The 16,364-nt window shown below is 58.2% G+C and overlaps 1 protein-coding gene across 21 annotated transcripts in view, besides 13 other annotated features; it reads left to right on the top strand.

Annotated features, from left to right (window-relative positions):
• AHDC1 (AT-hook DNA binding motif containing 1) overlaps window positions 1-16,364 on the top strand; it is a 69,983-nt gene that overhangs the window by 623 nt on the left and 52,996 nt on the right. For 11 of the 21 annotated variants that reach the window (XR_007059184.1, XR_007059182.1, XM_047418017.1 and 8 more), the window contains one exon: window positions 111-208. The gene's annotated coding sequence lies outside the window, so the exon portion shown is untranslated. Of the gene's footprint in view, window positions 1-110; window positions 209-7,523; window positions 13,071-16,364 lie in introns of those variants that run through there. The other 10 variants (XM_047418019.1, XM_047418022.1, XM_047418021.1 and 7 more) reach the window with 3 other exon arrangements.
• Window positions 207-286: a silencer, noted in NCBI's record as "silent region_523". NCBI's record gives its function as "represses an Ori minimal core promoter by ATAC-STARR-seq in GM12878 lymphoblastoid cells {active_cell/tissue: GM12878}" and the evidence as "EXISTENCE:reporter gene assay evidence [ECO:0000049][PMID:35858748]".
• Window positions 770-819: an enhancer, noted in NCBI's record as "active region_559". NCBI's record gives its function as "activates an Ori minimal core promoter by ATAC-STARR-seq in GM12878 lymphoblastoid cells {active_cell/tissue: GM12878}" and the evidence as "EXISTENCE:reporter gene assay evidence [ECO:0000049][PMID:35858748]".
• Window positions 1,493-2,089: an enhancer, noted in NCBI's record as "H3K27ac-H3K4me1 hESC enhancer chr1:27928027-27928623 (GRCh37/hg19 assembly coordinates)". NCBI's record gives its function as "activates a minimal SCP1, AML or CMV promoter by ChIP-STARR-seq in naive H9 embryonic stem cells {active_cell/tissue: H9 hESC(naive)}" and the evidence as "EXISTENCE:reporter gene assay evidence [ECO:0000049][PMID:30033119]".
• Window positions 1,620-1,669: an enhancer, noted in NCBI's record as "active region_558". NCBI's record gives its function as "activates an Ori minimal core promoter by ATAC-STARR-seq in GM12878 lymphoblastoid cells {active_cell/tissue: GM12878}" and the evidence as "EXISTENCE:reporter gene assay evidence [ECO:0000049][PMID:35858748]".
• Window positions 2,800-3,755: an enhancer, noted in NCBI's record as "H3K4me1 hESC enhancer chr1:27926361-27927316 (GRCh37/hg19 assembly coordinates)". NCBI's record gives its function as "activates a minimal SCP1, AML or CMV promoter by ChIP-STARR-seq in naive and primed H9 embryonic stem cells {active_cell/tissue: H9 hESC(naive and primed)}" and the evidence as "EXISTENCE:reporter gene assay evidence [ECO:0000049][PMID:30033119]".
• Window positions 3,756-4,713: an enhancer, noted in NCBI's record as "H3K4me1 hESC enhancer chr1:27925403-27926360 (GRCh37/hg19 assembly coordinates)". NCBI's record gives its function as "activates a minimal SCP1, AML or CMV promoter by ChIP-STARR-seq in naive and primed H9 embryonic stem cells {active_cell/tissue: H9 hESC(naive and primed)}" and the evidence as "EXISTENCE:reporter gene assay evidence [ECO:0000049][PMID:30033119]".
• Window positions 4,714-5,669: an enhancer, noted in NCBI's record as "H3K4me1 hESC enhancer chr1:27924447-27925402 (GRCh37/hg19 assembly coordinates)". NCBI's record gives its function as "activates a minimal SCP1, AML or CMV promoter by ChIP-STARR-seq in naive H9 embryonic stem cells {active_cell/tissue: H9 hESC(naive)}" and the evidence as "EXISTENCE:reporter gene assay evidence [ECO:0000049][PMID:30033119]".
• Window positions 6,758-7,283: an enhancer, noted in NCBI's record as "H3K4me1 hESC enhancer chr1:27922833-27923358 (GRCh37/hg19 assembly coordinates)". NCBI's record gives its function as "activates a minimal SCP1, AML or CMV promoter by ChIP-STARR-seq in naive H9 embryonic stem cells {active_cell/tissue: H9 hESC(naive)}" and the evidence as "EXISTENCE:reporter gene assay evidence [ECO:0000049][PMID:30033119]".
• Window positions 7,284-7,809: an enhancer, noted in NCBI's record as "H3K4me1 hESC enhancer chr1:27922307-27922832 (GRCh37/hg19 assembly coordinates)". NCBI's record gives its function as "activates a minimal SCP1, AML or CMV promoter by ChIP-STARR-seq in naive H9 embryonic stem cells {active_cell/tissue: H9 hESC(naive)}" and the evidence as "EXISTENCE:reporter gene assay evidence [ECO:0000049][PMID:30033119]".
• Window positions 8,424-8,553: an enhancer, noted in NCBI's record as "active region_557". NCBI's record gives its function as "activates an Ori minimal core promoter by ATAC-STARR-seq in GM12878 lymphoblastoid cells {active_cell/tissue: GM12878}" and the evidence as "EXISTENCE:reporter gene assay evidence [ECO:0000049][PMID:35858748]".
• Window positions 9,422-9,995: an enhancer, noted in NCBI's record as "H3K27ac-H3K4me1 hESC enhancer chr1:27920121-27920694 (GRCh37/hg19 assembly coordinates)". NCBI's record gives its function as "activates a minimal SCP1, AML or CMV promoter by ChIP-STARR-seq in naive H9 embryonic stem cells {active_cell/tissue: H9 hESC(naive)}" and the evidence as "EXISTENCE:reporter gene assay evidence [ECO:0000049][PMID:30033119]".
• Window positions 9,996-10,569: an enhancer, noted in NCBI's record as "NANOG-H3K27ac-H3K4me1 hESC enhancer chr1:27919547-27920120 (GRCh37/hg19 assembly coordinates)". NCBI's record gives its function as "activates a minimal SCP1, AML or CMV promoter by ChIP-STARR-seq in naive H9 embryonic stem cells {active_cell/tissue: H9 hESC(naive)}" and the evidence as "EXISTENCE:reporter gene assay evidence [ECO:0000049][PMID:30033119]".
• Window positions 11,144-11,717: an enhancer, noted in NCBI's record as "H3K27ac-H3K4me1 hESC enhancer chr1:27918399-27918972 (GRCh37/hg19 assembly coordinates)". NCBI's record gives its function as "activates a minimal SCP1, AML or CMV promoter by ChIP-STARR-seq in naive H9 embryonic stem cells {active_cell/tissue: H9 hESC(naive)}" and the evidence as "EXISTENCE:reporter gene assay evidence [ECO:0000049][PMID:30033119]".

Below are 16,364 nucleotides of genomic sequence, written 5' to 3'. Positions count from 1 at the left end.
CGGGGGGCCGTGTCCAGCGGAGTTAGCGGCGGAGAATGTGAGCCGAGGCGCGAGCCATGCTGTCAGCGACGGCGGGCGGCTCAGGGCTCCTCCACGACTCCTCTCCTCAGCAGCCGGGCGCCCGCGTCGCTGCCACCGCCGGAAGACAGACGTCCCCCAAAACCCCTCGCCTGGCTCGGACCCACGGAGCCGGCAGCCCAGCACTCCGGTGAGTGGCGCCTCCTCCCCAGCCCCAGACCCCCGCTGGGGACCGGCCGGCCAGGCTCTTTTGTGCAGCGCACGGGGGGGGCCTGCGTCCCCCGGTCCGGTCCGCTGGACCCGGTGGCTGCGGTGCCCGCGGTGCGATCGGTCTTTGTTTCCACCGGGGCCCGCGGCTCGGCTGGGCTCGGCTCGAAGCCTGGCAGGCAGCGCCGGGAAGGGGGAGGGGGAGGTGGACGGGGAGGGGGGGCGGGGAGGGGGGGTTCTCGGGTTTCCTGGCCGCCCCGCGGCTCCCCCGGCTCGGGGGCGAGGTGCGCGCCCAGCGCTGCCGCGCGCCCCCTCCTCCTTCCCCCTCCCTCCGCCTTTGGATTTAAAACTGCAATTTGCTCTCCAGCTTGCTGAGAATGTGGGGGGGGGGGGAATGAAGGGGGGACCGTGGGAGCGGAGAACAAGGCTGGATTTTAGGATCGGCGCTGGGAAAAGGGGAGACTGCGGAGGGAGGAGCCCCTCCCCTCCAACCCCCAAATCCCTAGGATCCACTGGCTCTCGGGGAGTTGAGGGGCGGGGACCTAATGACCCGGAGGGGGTGTGGGGCGGAGGAGGGATTTGGGGGCGGCTAGGGCTGGAGGGGTTGGGCCGCGTGCCCGGTTACCTGGCGAACAAAGTCGGCTCACTTTTGCATAAATAAATAAATAATCGCCTATCAATGCGTTTCCTCTGGGGCTCTGATTGAATCGGCCCCCTCTTCCCCAGGGGGTGGGGTGCTGAGTGACAGCTGTCAGCCCCCTAGGCAGGGAGCTGGGGTGAATTGCTGAATCTCTGCTCGCTGCTTGAGGGCGCCTTCCCCTGCTGGGTCTGGGTCCCCGGGCAGAGCCAGAGGGGCAGGGGGCTGGCTCTGAGTCTAGGAAATAACCTTGTTTCCTGTTCTACAGGAAAAGGGACAGCAACCCAGAGTTTGGGGGCTGGGGATGAGGACTGATGGGAGCTTGGGGGGGTTCCCCAGCAGCCTGACCCCCCAGCCTCCTGCCAGGCGAAGGGGCCAGCTGAGGGAGGAAGGATGTGGGCCTTGCTGGCCGGAGGCGGGAGCTGGGGCTGTCCCTGAGGCGGGCAGCGGGCACAGAGCGGGAGGAGGGAGAGAAGCGGGGGCGGGAATTCTCTACCGCAGACCCTGGGGGCCAGGGCCAGATGTGGAGGGGTGGGGAGTCTCCCCTCCCTCCCAGCTTGGGGGCCCTGGGGCTGGGCTGGGAGGGGCTGAGCCTGGTGCCCTCGGTTCTGCACCAGTGCCTGACTGGCAGGGCCAGCTGAATTTGGGCCCAGGCGTCACCCTGGGAGGCAGGGCCGGACTGTACCAGCCTGGTCCCTGAGCACAAGGAGGGACCCTTGGGGGGCCTGTGCCTGTCTGGCTGGGCAGGCGTTTCCCGCCGGACCAGTTGGTGTCAGGCGGGACTTGGCCCCAGCTCCCTGGGCAGAGCTCAGGGTGTGAGGACAAGCTTTGCCTCCGGGTCAGGGTGGCCACATTTTGTCCGCTGCTGCTGTCGCCGCCGGCTGGGCGGGGGCATGTGCCCGGGCCTGGGCAGAGTCCTGCCAGGGGCATTTGGGGTGTTTCTATTGTTGGCTTGTTCCTGTTCTGTGTGGCTGTGTGAGCTGGGGCTGTAAGTGAAAGATTACCAGTCTGTCCCCCAACCTGGGGTGGGGGGGTAGGAAGGCTGGGTTGTGGGGGGACCCCCCAGGTGGCATGTGCATGCTGCTTGCCATCTCCCTCCTTTGAGCAGATGTATATTTATTTTTATAGTAATGGAAAATCAAACTGGATAGTAAGTTGAATTCATTTTTTTCTCCTGCTGTGTCAATAGTTGGAGTAATCCCCAGAGACTGGTGAACTTCTGGCCCCAGAGCTCCCACTCTTCAGGGGTTGCAAAGACCAGTAAGGGCATAAGCTTTGGGGGACCAGTGGCTACCAGCCCAAACCAGTGAGTTGTCCTTCTTCATCTGGCTTTGGGGCAGATGCCCAGGTGGGCAGGCATTGCCCCCTCCCCAGGAATCACCCACAAGCCCAAGGTGTAGTCTGGCCTTTCTAGTCTGGTCAGTGCCTAACTGTGCCCAAGCCCTCAGGAACGTTCCCCTGGTGGGCGCTCTCCTCCGCCTGGGCTCCCAGCCCACGTGCCGATATTTATTTTCTGTAGTAAAATCCATTTTTAATGCCGTTACTTTTGAAATAATATAGAGAGAAACAAATGTGATGTGTTTAAGTTGCCCTCTGTGAGTTTTTAATGTGATCTATGGCTGAGGTAGTGATGGAAGGAGCTGTTGGGCTTGGAGAAATTTGGTGTCATAAAGAAAAAGAGCTTGCTGTTTATTATTGTTGCTGGGCTGGGGGGTCTGGAACAGGGTCGTGGGGGCAGGGAGCCCCTACCACCCTCAGGCGCTGTGGGACAGCATAGCTTCTCAGTTTCAATGCGTGAGGGTTCTGGGGTTATTTTGCATTGCTCCCCAGCCCTTGATGGGGCCTTTGGGGAAGGGGTTTGGGAGCTGGGGGACTTTGTTACCCCCACTGCATGGGCTTAGATCTGGGCTGGGAGGCTTCTGGAACCCCCTGCTGAGCTAAGTGGAGGTGTACAGTAGGGAAGTTGGACTTGGATTCAAAAGGTTAAAAGATGGGGTCTCCACCTGATTGCTGTGGTTGTGCTGGAGGCTTGAGGGGCAGACTGCCCCTGGCAGAAGACATTTGGGTAGGGGGAGCTGTTCTGGACTGGCAGAGCCCCAGAGGGACATTGTTGTTCTCCAATCAGCCTGGAGCACTGACTTTGAACCACTCCCACCTCTATGCTTCTGTTCCCCATTGGACAGGGGCTTCCTCCAGGCAAACCTGATCTCCCTCATTTCCCCCTTCCCCTCTTCTGTCCCACCCCCAGGTCAATTTCAATTTTTTTTGTTTTTTTTTTTTGGTTTGTAGAACACAGAGCTCTGTGTCTCATGCCAGCCACCCAAGACCAGGGGGTGCCATGCCTGTGTACCAGATGCCCAGGCCCTTCTGGTCTGGCTTGGTGAGGTCAAGCAGACTCACTATTATGGGATGGAGCCCAGCTCTGTCTCTGGGTCCCCTGGGTCTCTTGGGACAGAGTGGGGAGGCGGAAGCCAGGATGGAGTGGAGCTGGGGACTATGGGAGGAAGCAAGGGTAACATTGTTGCTAATGCCTGCAGATGGGCCCCCCCCAGGGAGGGGGGCGGGGGAGCGACCCACAACCACATGCATGGTGAAGAGAGAGAAAGATGGAGACCAAAGCCAGTGATGAGAGTGAAAGAGAAAACAGGCAAGAAAATCTGGAATTACAGCCCCTGGAGGTGGGGGCCGGGGACCAAGAAGGCCTAGGAATATACCACTCCCCTCCCTGGAGCCAGAGAGGAGGCAGCCCTGAGGTCCTCTCACCCAAGATCAGATTCTGGGGTTGTTTTTGGAGGAGAGACAAGCAGATGTTTGGGAAGAGGGAGGAGGACAGGTGGGAGAGAGAGAGAGACTCTCACAGGAGGAGGGAGAATGGGGAGACAGATTCCAGGGTTTTCAACAAATGTTTCAGGTCCCAGGGTAGCATCTCCCTTCTGCCCTCCCCAAATGCCTGGAACAGAGCTGAGCTTTTCTTGGGACCCGGGGGGGCGTGGCCTGTGGCAGGTACTGCACCCTACAGGTTGTCAGGTGCTCTGTGCCAAAAGACACCCAGGTTATAAAAGCGGGAAACATTAGGGTCCCAGAGGTGCCAGGAGCATCATCCAGTTGGACGCCCCCCACTTGTTTGACGAGAGAAAGCCAAGTCTAGGGAGAGGAGCCACTTGCTCAGGGTCACAGATACCTTTGGCAAGACCAGGCTGGGACCTGGGCTGTTTGCACTCCACCTCACTGTAGTTAGAGAATTGGAACAGCTGCAGGGGGCCTCCTGGGAGTGGAGGGGGCCGGAGCCTGGGGAGAGAAGCAGGCAGGCACCCTTGTGGCCAGAGCCCCCCCAGGGGAGGGGGAGGCGCCGCTGCTGCCGGGAGAGAGAGGGAGGGAGGCGAGAGAGGAGGGGAAACAGTGAGTCAGGCTTCCAAGAGCTGAGGATGAGAGAGCCAGAGCTGGGAGGGAGAGGGCAGGGAGGGCTGCTCAGAAGGGAGGAGAGGGAGGGGGCCCAACCAGGGGCAAGGAGAGCTCGAGAGGGAGGGAGCCAGCCCCTGGCCCTGGCCCTGGCCCTGGCCCTGTGGTAGGGCTGTGTGGAGGGTGTAGCCAATATGGACTTTACCCATGGTAGGTCAGGAAGGAGCCTGATTCTGCCCCTGCAGCATCTCTTTCTTCTTTCCTCATTTATGATCCTACCCCAGGGTCTCAGGAGGGATGACTGTGTCCTCCCATCCCTTCCTCTTGGGCCTCAGTTTCCCCATCCATTGTGGGATTTGGACTGTGAGCTATTGGAGAGGGAGTGGGGGACAGGGACAGAGTAGCCAGGGAGAATGTTAAGGGATGCTGTCTGAAGCTGCTGGCTTTGTGACGGGGGCGCTGTCACCAGTGCAAGGTAGGGTGCTGGTCTCTGCGTTCATGTCATGACGGTGGATGCTGGTGTTGGGGGGCTTGGGCAGGCGGTGAGCACTGGGATGCACTGTATATATTTGTGTGTGAGGTGCTAGATTCAGGATGGCCAGTGCCTAGACAGGGCCAGGGTCACTACATGGCCAAAACCAGCCTCCACTGTTGTGGGGGTGACACTGGTGTGATCCCCCCACGTCCCTATGGGTAGATGGAGGTGGGAATGGCCCCAGTGCAGTTGGCAAGAACAACCCCTCATGCCTGGAACTGGGACCAGAGCAGGAGGGGTCCCCAGGGACTGCCTGGAAAGGAGGAGGGAAGGAGCCCCCCTCCAGCCCAGCTGACAGGAAGCCCTGGCTCCCAGCCCCTCCTTCGCCCAAGGCCTGGCCTCTCCTGGCCCCTCCCTCCTGGATCCCAGCATCTCTTCCATTGGCCAGGGGATGAGGAAGGTGGGCATCAAGGATCCCTCTCCTGCAGGGCCTGGCTCCGGGGGCAATGGTGAAGTGAGAGTAAAGTGAGGCCCTGCCTCCCTCCAGCCCCCTTCCAGCCCCCTCCACCACACACACAAACCCAACTGCAATGAGGCCCTGTTTTCTCTCCTCTTCTGCTCTGGGGTCCTTGGCCTGGGAGCCCAGGGGAGGGGCTGCTTCTGCAGCTGGCTGGCCCCGAACTCCCAATTCAGCCCAGCTGCCACTGAAGCTTCCAGAAGCTGCAGCTCTGCACCCCCTCCCCACCCCCTGAGCCAGGAGAGGCCTTGCTGACCTGGGGGAGGGTGCCTTGGGGAGCGAGTGGGCACCCTTGGAAGGACTAACACAGACAGCCAGACAGATGGGTGGTGAAACAGATGGACAGAGACACCCACACACAGACAGACGGAGAGAGACGGACAGATGGACTGGGACAGGGAGAGACGGACAGACAGAGGTGCTGGCAGAGAGAGGAGGAGGCAGAAAAATGGAAGACAGAGACTTAGAGAAAAGAAAGGAGACAGAGTGACTGAGATGGAGAAGGAGAGAGATGGGGAGGCTGAGAGACAGGAAGAGATAAAGAAAGGGGGAAACCCAGACAGACAGAGAGAGGGAGGGAGAGGGAGGGAGAAGACTGCAGGCTGCAAACCACAAACAGGGATTTGATGAGAATCTGGAAGGTGTTTTCTCCCTCTTCCCTCCCCAAACCCCCAGGCCAGCCAAGTCTCCATTCCTTCCACCCCCGGCTCAGTTTCCAGCTGCTAAAGAGGTCAGGGAGAAAGAGCAAGAGAGAGAAGCCGCCCAGAGCCCCTTGCTCCCTGCTCCTCTTTTCATAGGGGGAGGGGGTTGCTGAGAGGCCTGCAGCCCTGACCCCTGCACCAGATGCACATGTGCACCTCTCTTGTCTTGGGAAACACCCCCTCACATTCACCCGGGGGATGCCCCTCGTATAAACGCAGCCCCCACGGTCACACCTGTCTACACAGGCCCTGCGTCTCTCTCTCTCTCTCTCTCACACACACACTCTCACACTGTCACACACACACACACACACAAATTTGTGACATGTAAATCTCCACCCTCACACTCATTCTGCATCTCACGAACATAGCTGGTGAACACGCACCTGTGCTTCCTTCCCTGTACAGGTGTTGACTCACAGGCCCTGTCATGGGACACCCTCCTACATACAGTGGCAGTCACACCAGAGCACACAGAACCTCCCCCTGCCACCTGCCCCCCACCCCCATACTCTAACCCGGCTGGCAAGGTGGGGAGGCAGAAGGTCCTCTCAGTCGGTGAGAGCCCTTCTGGAAAGCTTCAGGGCCTGACCTGGACACAGAGAAATGCCCAGTGGCTTGGGTAGTGGGGAGCTGTCTCAAAGGTGGTGAGGCATATGTGTATAAACATGTGCTTGCATGTGCAGGTAGAAGGGATGGCGAGTGTCCTCATGGAGTGTGAGAGAGACTGGGTGTATGTGAGATAGGGTACGGGTGTGACAGGGAGCTCCAAGGTGTGTGGAGTGTGTGGGTGTGTGTGTGAGAGTGACTTGTCAGGTATGTATGTGTGGATGCACGTTTATGTGATAGGTGTGTGTGTAAGATGGGTGTGTGTAACTGTGGGTTTTGCAGGGTGGGGTATGTGTGATGGGGGTACATATATGAAGGTTTAAGGGCATGGGGCAAACTGCATGTGTGAGCGTGCAGTGGCAGGCATGCATGTGGGAAGGTGTATGAGTGCGTGTGAGTGTAGGGACTATGCAGATATGAGGGTGTAGTTCAGGTGTGAGGCTGGGAGCCTGTTGCCTGGATTGGAGCAGTGTTTTCCAAGGCCTGAGTGCTACCTGAACAGGAACATCCAGCACAAGCACGTGGGAAGGGGCCCCCGGCCTGGAAGTTGGGCACTGACCCACACAGATGCACAAGGACAGACATACCCGCCCCTGTCCTCCCTCTTCCTCTCTTCTGGCGTCAGTGGTTTTTAAAGGAGCCTCCGTGAGGACTGTTTGCTGTGCAGTTCCCCCACCCCCAGCCTGTGTCTCTTCAAACGCAGTGCTGCCCTCCAGGCAGCTTTGTGGAGGCTCCTGCCTCGACCATCTGAAGGCAGATGGGTGGGCTTGGATCCGCTGCTGCCCCCCAGGGAGCGAGGAGGCAGCTCTGCTCCTTGGGCCTGGGCACAGGCTGAGACAGATGGACTGCCTGTCTCAACACCCCCGCACAGGCACCCCATACCATAGGGGTTCTAGCGGGTAGCCCCCAGTTAGGCCCCGGAGCAAAGGCCAGGATGCTGCCCTTCATTCTCCCAGAGGGGCATCCCCCCTAACACACACAAACCCTGCAGCCCCATCACCTCTCTGGGGTCCAGGGACTCAGTTACAGCTCCCAACACCTTCTAAATAGACAACTGCCCCACATACACACTCACAGCTCTAACACCTCTAAAACACAACTGCTCCACCTACAACACCCAGCCCACACACTTCCACACACACACTCTACATACAGATACCCCCCGACATCCAGCTACCTCACATGCACATACCCCCAAACACACAACCACCACATGCTTACCCACAACCTGCAACACCTCCCTGACACCAGGAACCTGGTTACAGCCCTCATACCTGTGCATGCACGGACGATAGCCTGTGGCACATCTCTGATATCAGAGACCCATTCTTCCCTTCCCACGTATGGAGGGACCTCAGGTCTCTAACGCCTCCCCAGACCCTTGCAGGTACCCAATTAAAATCCCAATAACCTTTCCAGAGACACTCCCCAGCTCCTCCCCAAAACCACAGTGCATCCTCCACCAACCACAACACCTTTCCAGGCACATGTTCACAGCCCTAGTACTTAACCAAAACCCACATTTTTATGACCCCCCAATACATCCCTAAACACCCCAACACACACACAATCACACACACACACACACACAGCTATCACACCCTCAGCATATCAACCCCCTATCCAACCCCAACACTGCCAGATACACCCAGGACCCAGCTACAGCCCTGCTACCTTCCCACTGACTCATACCCTCAAAGCCCTGACACCTCCCCAGACACACACACTCTGCCCACAGCCCCCAACGTTTCTCCCAGCTATAGCTCAGCACTTCCCCAAACACCGGTATCATCCCCTATACCTTTCCAAACATACAGCCTCCCCCTACAACACACATACACTCACTGCTTCAAACACCCACTCAAACAAGAACACCCTCTGTAGCCACAACATTTGCCTCAAACACACAGACATGGCTTCGGTTCTAGTATATCTCTAACAGATCAGGCCCCGAAGCTTCTAATACCTCCTGAAACTTGTGCACACTGCCTCCTGGATCCCGGCACCTCCTCGACAGGCAGTCCTAATGGCCCGGCCCCACCGCTTCCCAGACAGTCTCAGCTCCGGTACTTTTCCTCAGCCACCTAAGGGCCCAGGGACACCCCTACACCTCTCCAAACACCCCGATACCACACCTGTACACAAAGACAGCCTCAGCTAGTCACAACCCTGCACCCATTCTGTGCTCCGCCTGCACCCCACGGCACCCTGTCACATACCCCGCCTAATCCTTCTGCAGCCCTCACTCCCACCGTTGGCACATTCCAGCACACCCTCTCCCCCACCTTGTTCCCCTAGACAGCCTCAGCCTGTCACACACATTGCTCACTCTTGTGTGCTCTCGCTCTCTCTCTCTCTGCTGCCCAGGCCTCCCGCTCTTCCCAGAGCCTCCTCTGCCTGGGGAGGCATCTCCACCCCTTCACCGCCCCAGGCCTTTCATTCCTGGACAGTGAGGCTGGACATCTGGTTCAAAGCTGCCCCACCCAAGACCCTGTGCTCTGGGCACCCTGGCCTGGGCTTAAAGGTTTGGGGCCTCTTTGGGGTGGGGGCAGAGCCCCTTGGCACCTGGTCATCCTGGTCTTTCAGCCAGGAACTCTCAGTACCCAGCCCTGCCCTGGCTCTGGCATGTATGTGGGAGAGAGGGACAGGGGGAGTTGCCCCCAGCCCACACTTTTTCAAGTGCTTGCCAAATCACTGCCTCCCTCCCCCAACCCCTTGGCTCACCTGAGAGGGACATGGGGCCTGGGGCTTCAGGGAGAGGGATGGGGAAGGTGCTGGATTGACATACTACCCCCCACCCCCAAATCCAGGCTGCGGGGCTTGGTCTCCCTGGGAGTCAGTTCCGACAGTGAAGGTTACTTTACTAGATGCATGATTTTAAACGGAATCTCCACCATCTGTTCCACCCCCTAATTACAGATGCACAGAATCCGCCTCAGAGGGCAGCATGAGGGGAGTGATTTAGAGGCTGAGCTGCTTCTGCCTGCATTAGGACTGGGGAGATAGGGGGGCTCTGGGTATTGCTCACAGCCCCCAAATCCCTTCTCTTTCCTAGAGGTCCCTCGTGCCTCCTCTCTTGCTGAGGGAAGGCTCACAGAAGGGCTCCACTGATCCCCAAGACCCTAAAGAAGAAGCAACTGCAGTGCTGTGGGAAGGGTCCCCAAGACATCGCCTGTGTCCCAGCCCAGCAAGTCCTGGGATGCAGGCTCCATTAGGGCCTTAAAAAATTCAGTGAATCGATCTCCTGCCTGCCTCTTGTGCCCTGGGGAGCCGCAGGCACTGGCTTAGCCCAGCTGTCTGCCCACCCTGGGGGGATAGCAGGGATTGGTGAGATAGGGAGGGGTTCAGAGCAGAGGTGGGGCAGCCAGGTTCTGGCAGCAAAGCCCATGGGCAGGCATGCCAAGACCCACCGGGGGTGTTTGCACATATGTGCCCATCCGCCCTGGCACAGCTGGCATGCCTGACCCCAGCTGGAGCCGTGGCTGTGGGACTGGGGCAGCACCAAGGGCCAGAGGGAATGGGCCAGGGCCTGGGTCTTAGGGTTCTGAGGGACACACGGCTACGCCCTGAGAATGGGTCCATCTTTGCCCATGGACACCAGGGACCTGGGTCCCAGCCTGCCTGGGGGTAGTGGTGGCGGCAGCAGTGGGCACACTGCGGTAGACTCTGGGGCATTCACTGCAGGGAGAGAGGGAGAGAGGTTGGGCTGGAGGAATTTTAAAGATTGCTGCAGGCAGGAGGGTCTCTGGAACCCTGTGGAGCGGGCAGTCATGCAGAAGTAATCCTATCGCTGCCTGCCTGGAGGAGTGGAGGGGGAGGGGAGGGACGGAGCTGCTCCCCCTTCCCCACCTCAGCCCCTGCCCCAGCCAGCCCTGGAGGGAGCCCGGGACCCTAGGGGCCTTCCCTGAGGAGACACCGTGTCTACTCCGTTCCACCGAGGCCTGTGTCCCCTGGAGGGGCAGCACCGCAGCTGTTGCTCAGCTCCTTGCTCTGGGTTTTATAAATAATGCAGCTCGGAGGTGGGGCCAACTCTGCCCCTGGTCACCTTGGGTCACCCAGTATGGAACCTCCAGCTGGCAGGCCTTTGGCAGAGCCCCTCTCCCGTCCAGCCTGCGCCTCCTCGTCTGCTGTGTGAGCTTGGGCCAGGGGCCCAAGCCTCTCTGAGCTGGGCCCGAGGTAGAGGAGTGCGGAAGAACCCAGAAACCCTGGGTCCTTTCGTCCCACCCCCAGCCCTCACAGGTTAACCGGCAGCCGGCTCAGCCAATCCAGGCTAGAGAGGGATGACCTGTCTACAGGGGCCTCCTGCGTTCCGGCCCCTCCATTTTGCAGATGGAGCAACCGAGTCCAGAGGGGTGCAAGGGTGGTCAAGGCCAGCCAGCTGGGGAGCCCCCTCCTTCCTGCCCCATTCTGCTGTCACTCAGGCTCTTCTCAGCCTCAGCTCAGCTAAGAGCAGGGCCTGGGGGGGGGAGGGCGGGGGATGTTTGGGAAAGTGGTTGCGGCTGAGAGGTTGCCATGGCGATGCTGCAGGATGCCGAGCTGAAGTGGGGGTCCCACAGGGTCTCTGGGGCCCCCAGCTCCGCACCCCTGTGGTCTTCTCCTCCCCATCTCCTGTCCCCCACCCAGATGTCTGTCAGGCGGCTCCGGTGACAGGCTGGGTGGGTGACAGGTGGTGCAGGTGATGGGCTGGGTGGGTGACGAGCTGGGTGGGTGACAGGTGGTGCGGGTGCGAGGCAGGCAGGTGACAAGCTGGGTGGTGACGGGCTCTGTGGATGACAGGCAGGGGGTGTGGTTGGCGAGGATGCTGTCTCCTGGCTGGTGGCCTGTTGCAGCCCCCTACCCTCATGCGTGTGCACACACATAGACTCTGGGCTCAGAGCTTGGGGCTAAGATACTAATGAGGCTTATTACTTGTGGAGGGGCAGGTGCCTAGGCTCACTAATGAGAGGCCTTTAACAAATAGGGGAGACAGCTAGGGGGCTTCGAGGAATTCGGCTGGCCCTTCTGGGCTGAGACCCTGGGGGTCCTGACCTGGCTCAAGGATGAAGCTGGATCGCCTCCAGCCAGGTCGGGGATCCCTCTTCCCCCTTCTCCCTGGCCACTGGATTTATGTTAATACTAACCACAATTATGATCGCTACCATTGTTCAAGCACTTATTATGTGTCAGGCACTGTGCCAAGGCCTTTGCATGCATTTTCTCATTTCAACTCAACAGTCCTAGGAGAGAGGCACTATTACCCCATTTTACAGATGGGGAATCTGAGGCTGAGAAAAGGCACAGGACTTCATATAACAAGTTACTGGTGCAGCTAGGGCATTAATCCGGGTCTGTATGTCCCTAGAACATGTGCTCTTAACCACCCCACCAGTAAAACTCAGGTCTTGGTGCAGACTCCAGATCCTCTCTCAGGGACTGGAAAATGGGCATGTGGTGGAGGGGTGATCACCATAAACTCTTCAGCTCTGACTTGGGTGGCTGTGAGGACTCCTCCAGGTAGCTGCTGTGACCTTACCCCATCTGGGCCAGATTCTGGACAGAGGGCAGGGCCTAATGCTAAGGGGGGTGAGCCGAAAGGTGGTCACCTGGGATATCTGAGCCACTTTCTGCATTGTGCAGTGGGAAGGCTGAGGCCCAGAGAGGAGCAGTCACCACCCAAGGTCACACACCCTGTGAGCTGCAGGGCCCCGTGGGATCCCAGGTCTCCTGGCCTCTTGAAAGGGCAGGGCTGGGTGTGGTGCCAGAGCGGGGAGGCTACCTCCTCCTGGGCCCCACCCACCAGCCTAGTTTCCTCCCTGGATGTTGTGAGCACCCAGCTTCTAGGAGGGTGCAGGGGTCTGTTGGCAGACTCCTTAGGGCCATGCTCCCTCCCCATCAATCTGAGCCCCTAGTGTCAGTTGTGCCGCTCCCTTTGGAACCCATTGGGGTGGAAACTCCCTGGCAACAGCTGATGGATGGGTTAGGGCTTTGACATTGGCCTGGGGCCACAGCATGGCCCTGGAGGGACCAGGCTGGGGCTGGGAGGTGGGGGTTGGAGGGGAATTTAAGGGAAAAGAATTAGGCTCATAAATCATGGAGCATCTCGTTTCTCCTCCTCAACCTTAGTCTCTTAGCAAACCTGCTCTCCAACTGCTCATCCAAGGTGCTGGGGGTTGAGGGAGCCCACCTGCCTGTTCCCCACTCCCTCCAGCTGATGCTCATCCCCTCCGGAAATTGCACCCTCCCACGAGAAAGAAAGAGCTGCAGCCACTATTGCTAGGCAGCATTAAGACAAGTCCAGATGACTGGATTTTGCCTCTGACTCATTGTGATGAGTAGGGCGGAGGGCTTCACTGCCTCAGTTTCCCCAACTTTGGACCTTAAATCCTCTCCTGATGCCTCTCAGCCCAGCCAGGAAGGAGAGCTAAGACCAAGAGGGATTTAACAGATGCAGGACACACAGCCTTGTCCTCAGACCCCCCAAGTCTGAGAGAAGCAAAACACTCACCTTGAGAGCCCTCGGACTTGGAGGTGAGGTGCAGAACCCAGGCTGGGTGTGTGCTGAGGGGTGGTGGGGGTGGGTGGTGCTGGGTGGCTGGCCTGGGAATACTTTCTTAAGCTAAGGCTGGGGCTTAGGGGAGGCCAGAGGAAGGGTAATAGTTTGCCTGGGGGTGCTGGGAAGCCATCTTTGGTTGGGAGGTGTGGGCCTGGAAGGGTCTGGCCTTCCCACAGGCCCAGGCAAACAGTAGGTTGGAGTTGTGGGCCTCCCCGCCCAGCTCCCCAGGGAACTCGCTGCTGCCTGGCCCCAGGGACCCAGGCATCCTGGCGGGTGAGGGCGGGTCTCCAGCAGGCGCGCTGCCAAACCCCGCAGCCTGCTCACCAGGAATCTTGTTGCTGAGAGATGGAAAATCCCGGCCGGGGCCTGCAGCTCATCCCTCCCCTCCAGGAGAAGGAGGGGCCCGAAGAGTCCTTCCTGTACCCCCAGCTCTCATCTCAGGGCAGGGCTCTCCTCAGCAGTGGGTGGGGCAGGGGGCCCAGGACAGGCCTCTAAGGCCCAGTCACATGTCCTGGAGCCCTGCCCAGCCCACAGTGGGCACTAGGGCACTCTGGAGGCAGAATGAGCCTGGTGCAGCAGAGGAGGGGGTGGGGGTGCTGAGGGCAGAAGGCGGCCTGGGTGGGGGCCGGTGCCTGGCCCTGGCCCCACTGGCTCCCCCAGGGCGGAGGGTGAAGGGTTGGTTCTCTCCTTGGACAGGAAGACGAATGATCCCATTATGGGAGCGTGATTTTATTCCACGTGTCACAGAGTCTGAGATTAACTTGCTCACCAGTCTGTGACAAACCCCTCACACCCAACACACAGATACAGACACACACATATCCTTGGTCTCACAAACATCACACAGACCTAGATAAGCATCTCCATACTACAACACATGGCATAGTCTCCCATACAGAAACACAAGCACACGCTTAGATACACCGAAGCCTAGACCCACAGTCTCAAAAGCACAATGTGCCCTCACTCACACCAAGGCCGCATGGACCCACAAATGCAAACAGTAGTCCAGCAGGATGCTGGCACTCTGTACTTAGACATGCATGGAGTCTAGGACACACATAGACACCCACAAAACCAGACACTGCCATGCAGACAGGCATAGATCACCAGCCACACACACTGAGACAAAGGCCCAGAAACATATAGAGACAAAGACAGGCACAGACACACAGCCAGTGGTACTCACACGAGCACAGGCGTGCACACCCGGACACAGACAAAGACAAAGAAATGCCCAGAGGTTTTACTGTGGACAGATGTAGAGGCACACGCACATCTGGGCCTCGTCCTCGACCTCCCTGCCTAGGGACATGGTAATCTGGCGCCTGTGGCTCCAGGGAGGACTCTGAGGAATCTTCTGCTCTGTCAGAACCCCCCACCCTGGGCCCAGGGCCAGCCCCCACCTCTGGCACCAGGCCTGTGGTCGAGGCCATGGCAGCTGCACCCTCAGCAGAGCCCTGAAACCTCTTACCTACCTTCCCCACTGGTCACACTCACAGGGACACCATCTCCTCATGCACATGTTCACAACAACAGCCCCCCCATACATAGTTTCTCACTCACTCACCCTTCCTTCATGTGTTCCCTCTTGTCTTTCTCAATCACTCCCTCCTAGCAGAAGTGCACAACCTCCATCATGTACACACACGGCATCCTGTGCACACACAGCCTTCCTCACACACACCCATACATACCCAAGCCGTCATGGCATGCGTACACAGCCCCCCTACAAACACACACGTACATGTTTGCATACTTCCCTGCCTTCTCACACAGGCCAATTCACAAATGCAGCACACACATGCGTCCTCACCTCTTCTTGCCCATGTGCACACACACACACTGAGAGCCTCCCTCACACCATCATTTTCCTTCCTCTGTCTCTCATAAACACTCTCTCTGCCAAGAGTGTGGCCTGCTGCAGATTAGCCCTGACGGTATTTGTTACTGCTCTTCACCATGTCCTTGCCCTTCCTGGCCTCAGTCTCTCCCCGTCTATCTCCGGCCCTGCCTGCTGTGGCCTTGTATTCTTTTGTCATTCCTCTGTTTAGTCAGCAGGTCTATACAGAGCATTCATTGATTCATTCAACAAATATTGATTGAGCATTGATGATGAGTTAAGCCCTGGGGATACTGTGGTGACCAAGATGGACATGAGCCCTTCCCTCACAGGCTCTCAGTTTTGTGACCAGCCTATTTGTTGCCTGTCTCTTCCAACTCCATTGTAAAGTAACCCTTGATCTTGGATGTTGAGAGATGTGTAGGAATTCATAAGAGGAAGCGTGGAAGGGTGTTCCAGGCAGTGGGAATAGCATATGCAAAGCCTGAAAGTGAATCAAGTGTGTTATGCTGAGAAAACGGAGGGACGTTCACAGACCAGAGGAGACACTGCAAAGAGGCCAGAAGGCAGATGTCACGGCGTGCAGATGCCATGCTCTGGGGCTTCAGTTTTATCCAGTGGGCTTCAAGGGGTTATGGGAAATCTTTGCTGGCAGGACCAGGGGAGGGAGAGACTGGAGGCAGGAAGGCTAGTTGAGGGGCTTTGGAAGTGCAAGTGGGAGATGATGGTCTAACCTAGAAGTGGTGAGTAGGATGGAGAGGAGATTCAATTAGGGTTAAGGATCAGTGGGGTTCCAGTTCCTGAGCTGAGTGACCTTAGGCAAGTCATACAACCTCTATGAGCAAGGTTCGTCGTGCAAGGATGGGGTAGTACAGGTGTTGGGCTTGTAGTAGCTGCTCAATAAATAATAGCCATTATTGTCAGTTATCACTTGGACATGGGGGGACATCAGATGAAGAGATTTACTGAGCATCTTCTGAGGGCTGGGTACTGTGCCAGCTGCTGGGGCCCAGACTCTTTTCTTAGTCTACAGAAAGCTCACCTGATAACCATATCACACAGACAGCAGAGAGTGAGTCTTCACCTTCACCTCCACCCCAGAAGCTTAAAGGAAATTGTCAGGGTTCTGGGTGGCTCATGGAGGAACTGGTATTGAGCTGGCTGGTAGAATTTGGGCAGGGAGAAGTTGGGGAAGGAGCTTCCAAGCAAGCTAGGTGAACAGCAAGGCCGAGGGCAGGAACTGAGGTTGGTTGAGGTCTAACCAGTTGCTGCGTAGGACAGAAGGGAAAGTTGTGGAACGGGCCTATGGAGGCGAGGCCTCAGAGGCTAGGCTGGGAGAGGGCAGCATGGAACTGAGCCGCCCTCTGAAAATCCAGTGTTGTAGTGTGACATGGAATGTACCCCTTAGAGAGTCAGCTTCAGGCTC

This window comes from Homo sapiens, chromosome 1 (genome assembly GCF_000001405.40).
Source record: "Homo sapiens chromosome 1, GRCh38.p14 Primary Assembly".
NCBI classification, from domain to species: Eukaryota; Metazoa; Chordata; class Mammalia; order Primates; family Hominidae; genus Homo; species Homo sapiens.
This window is presented reverse-complemented; position numbering and strand designations above follow the sequence as displayed.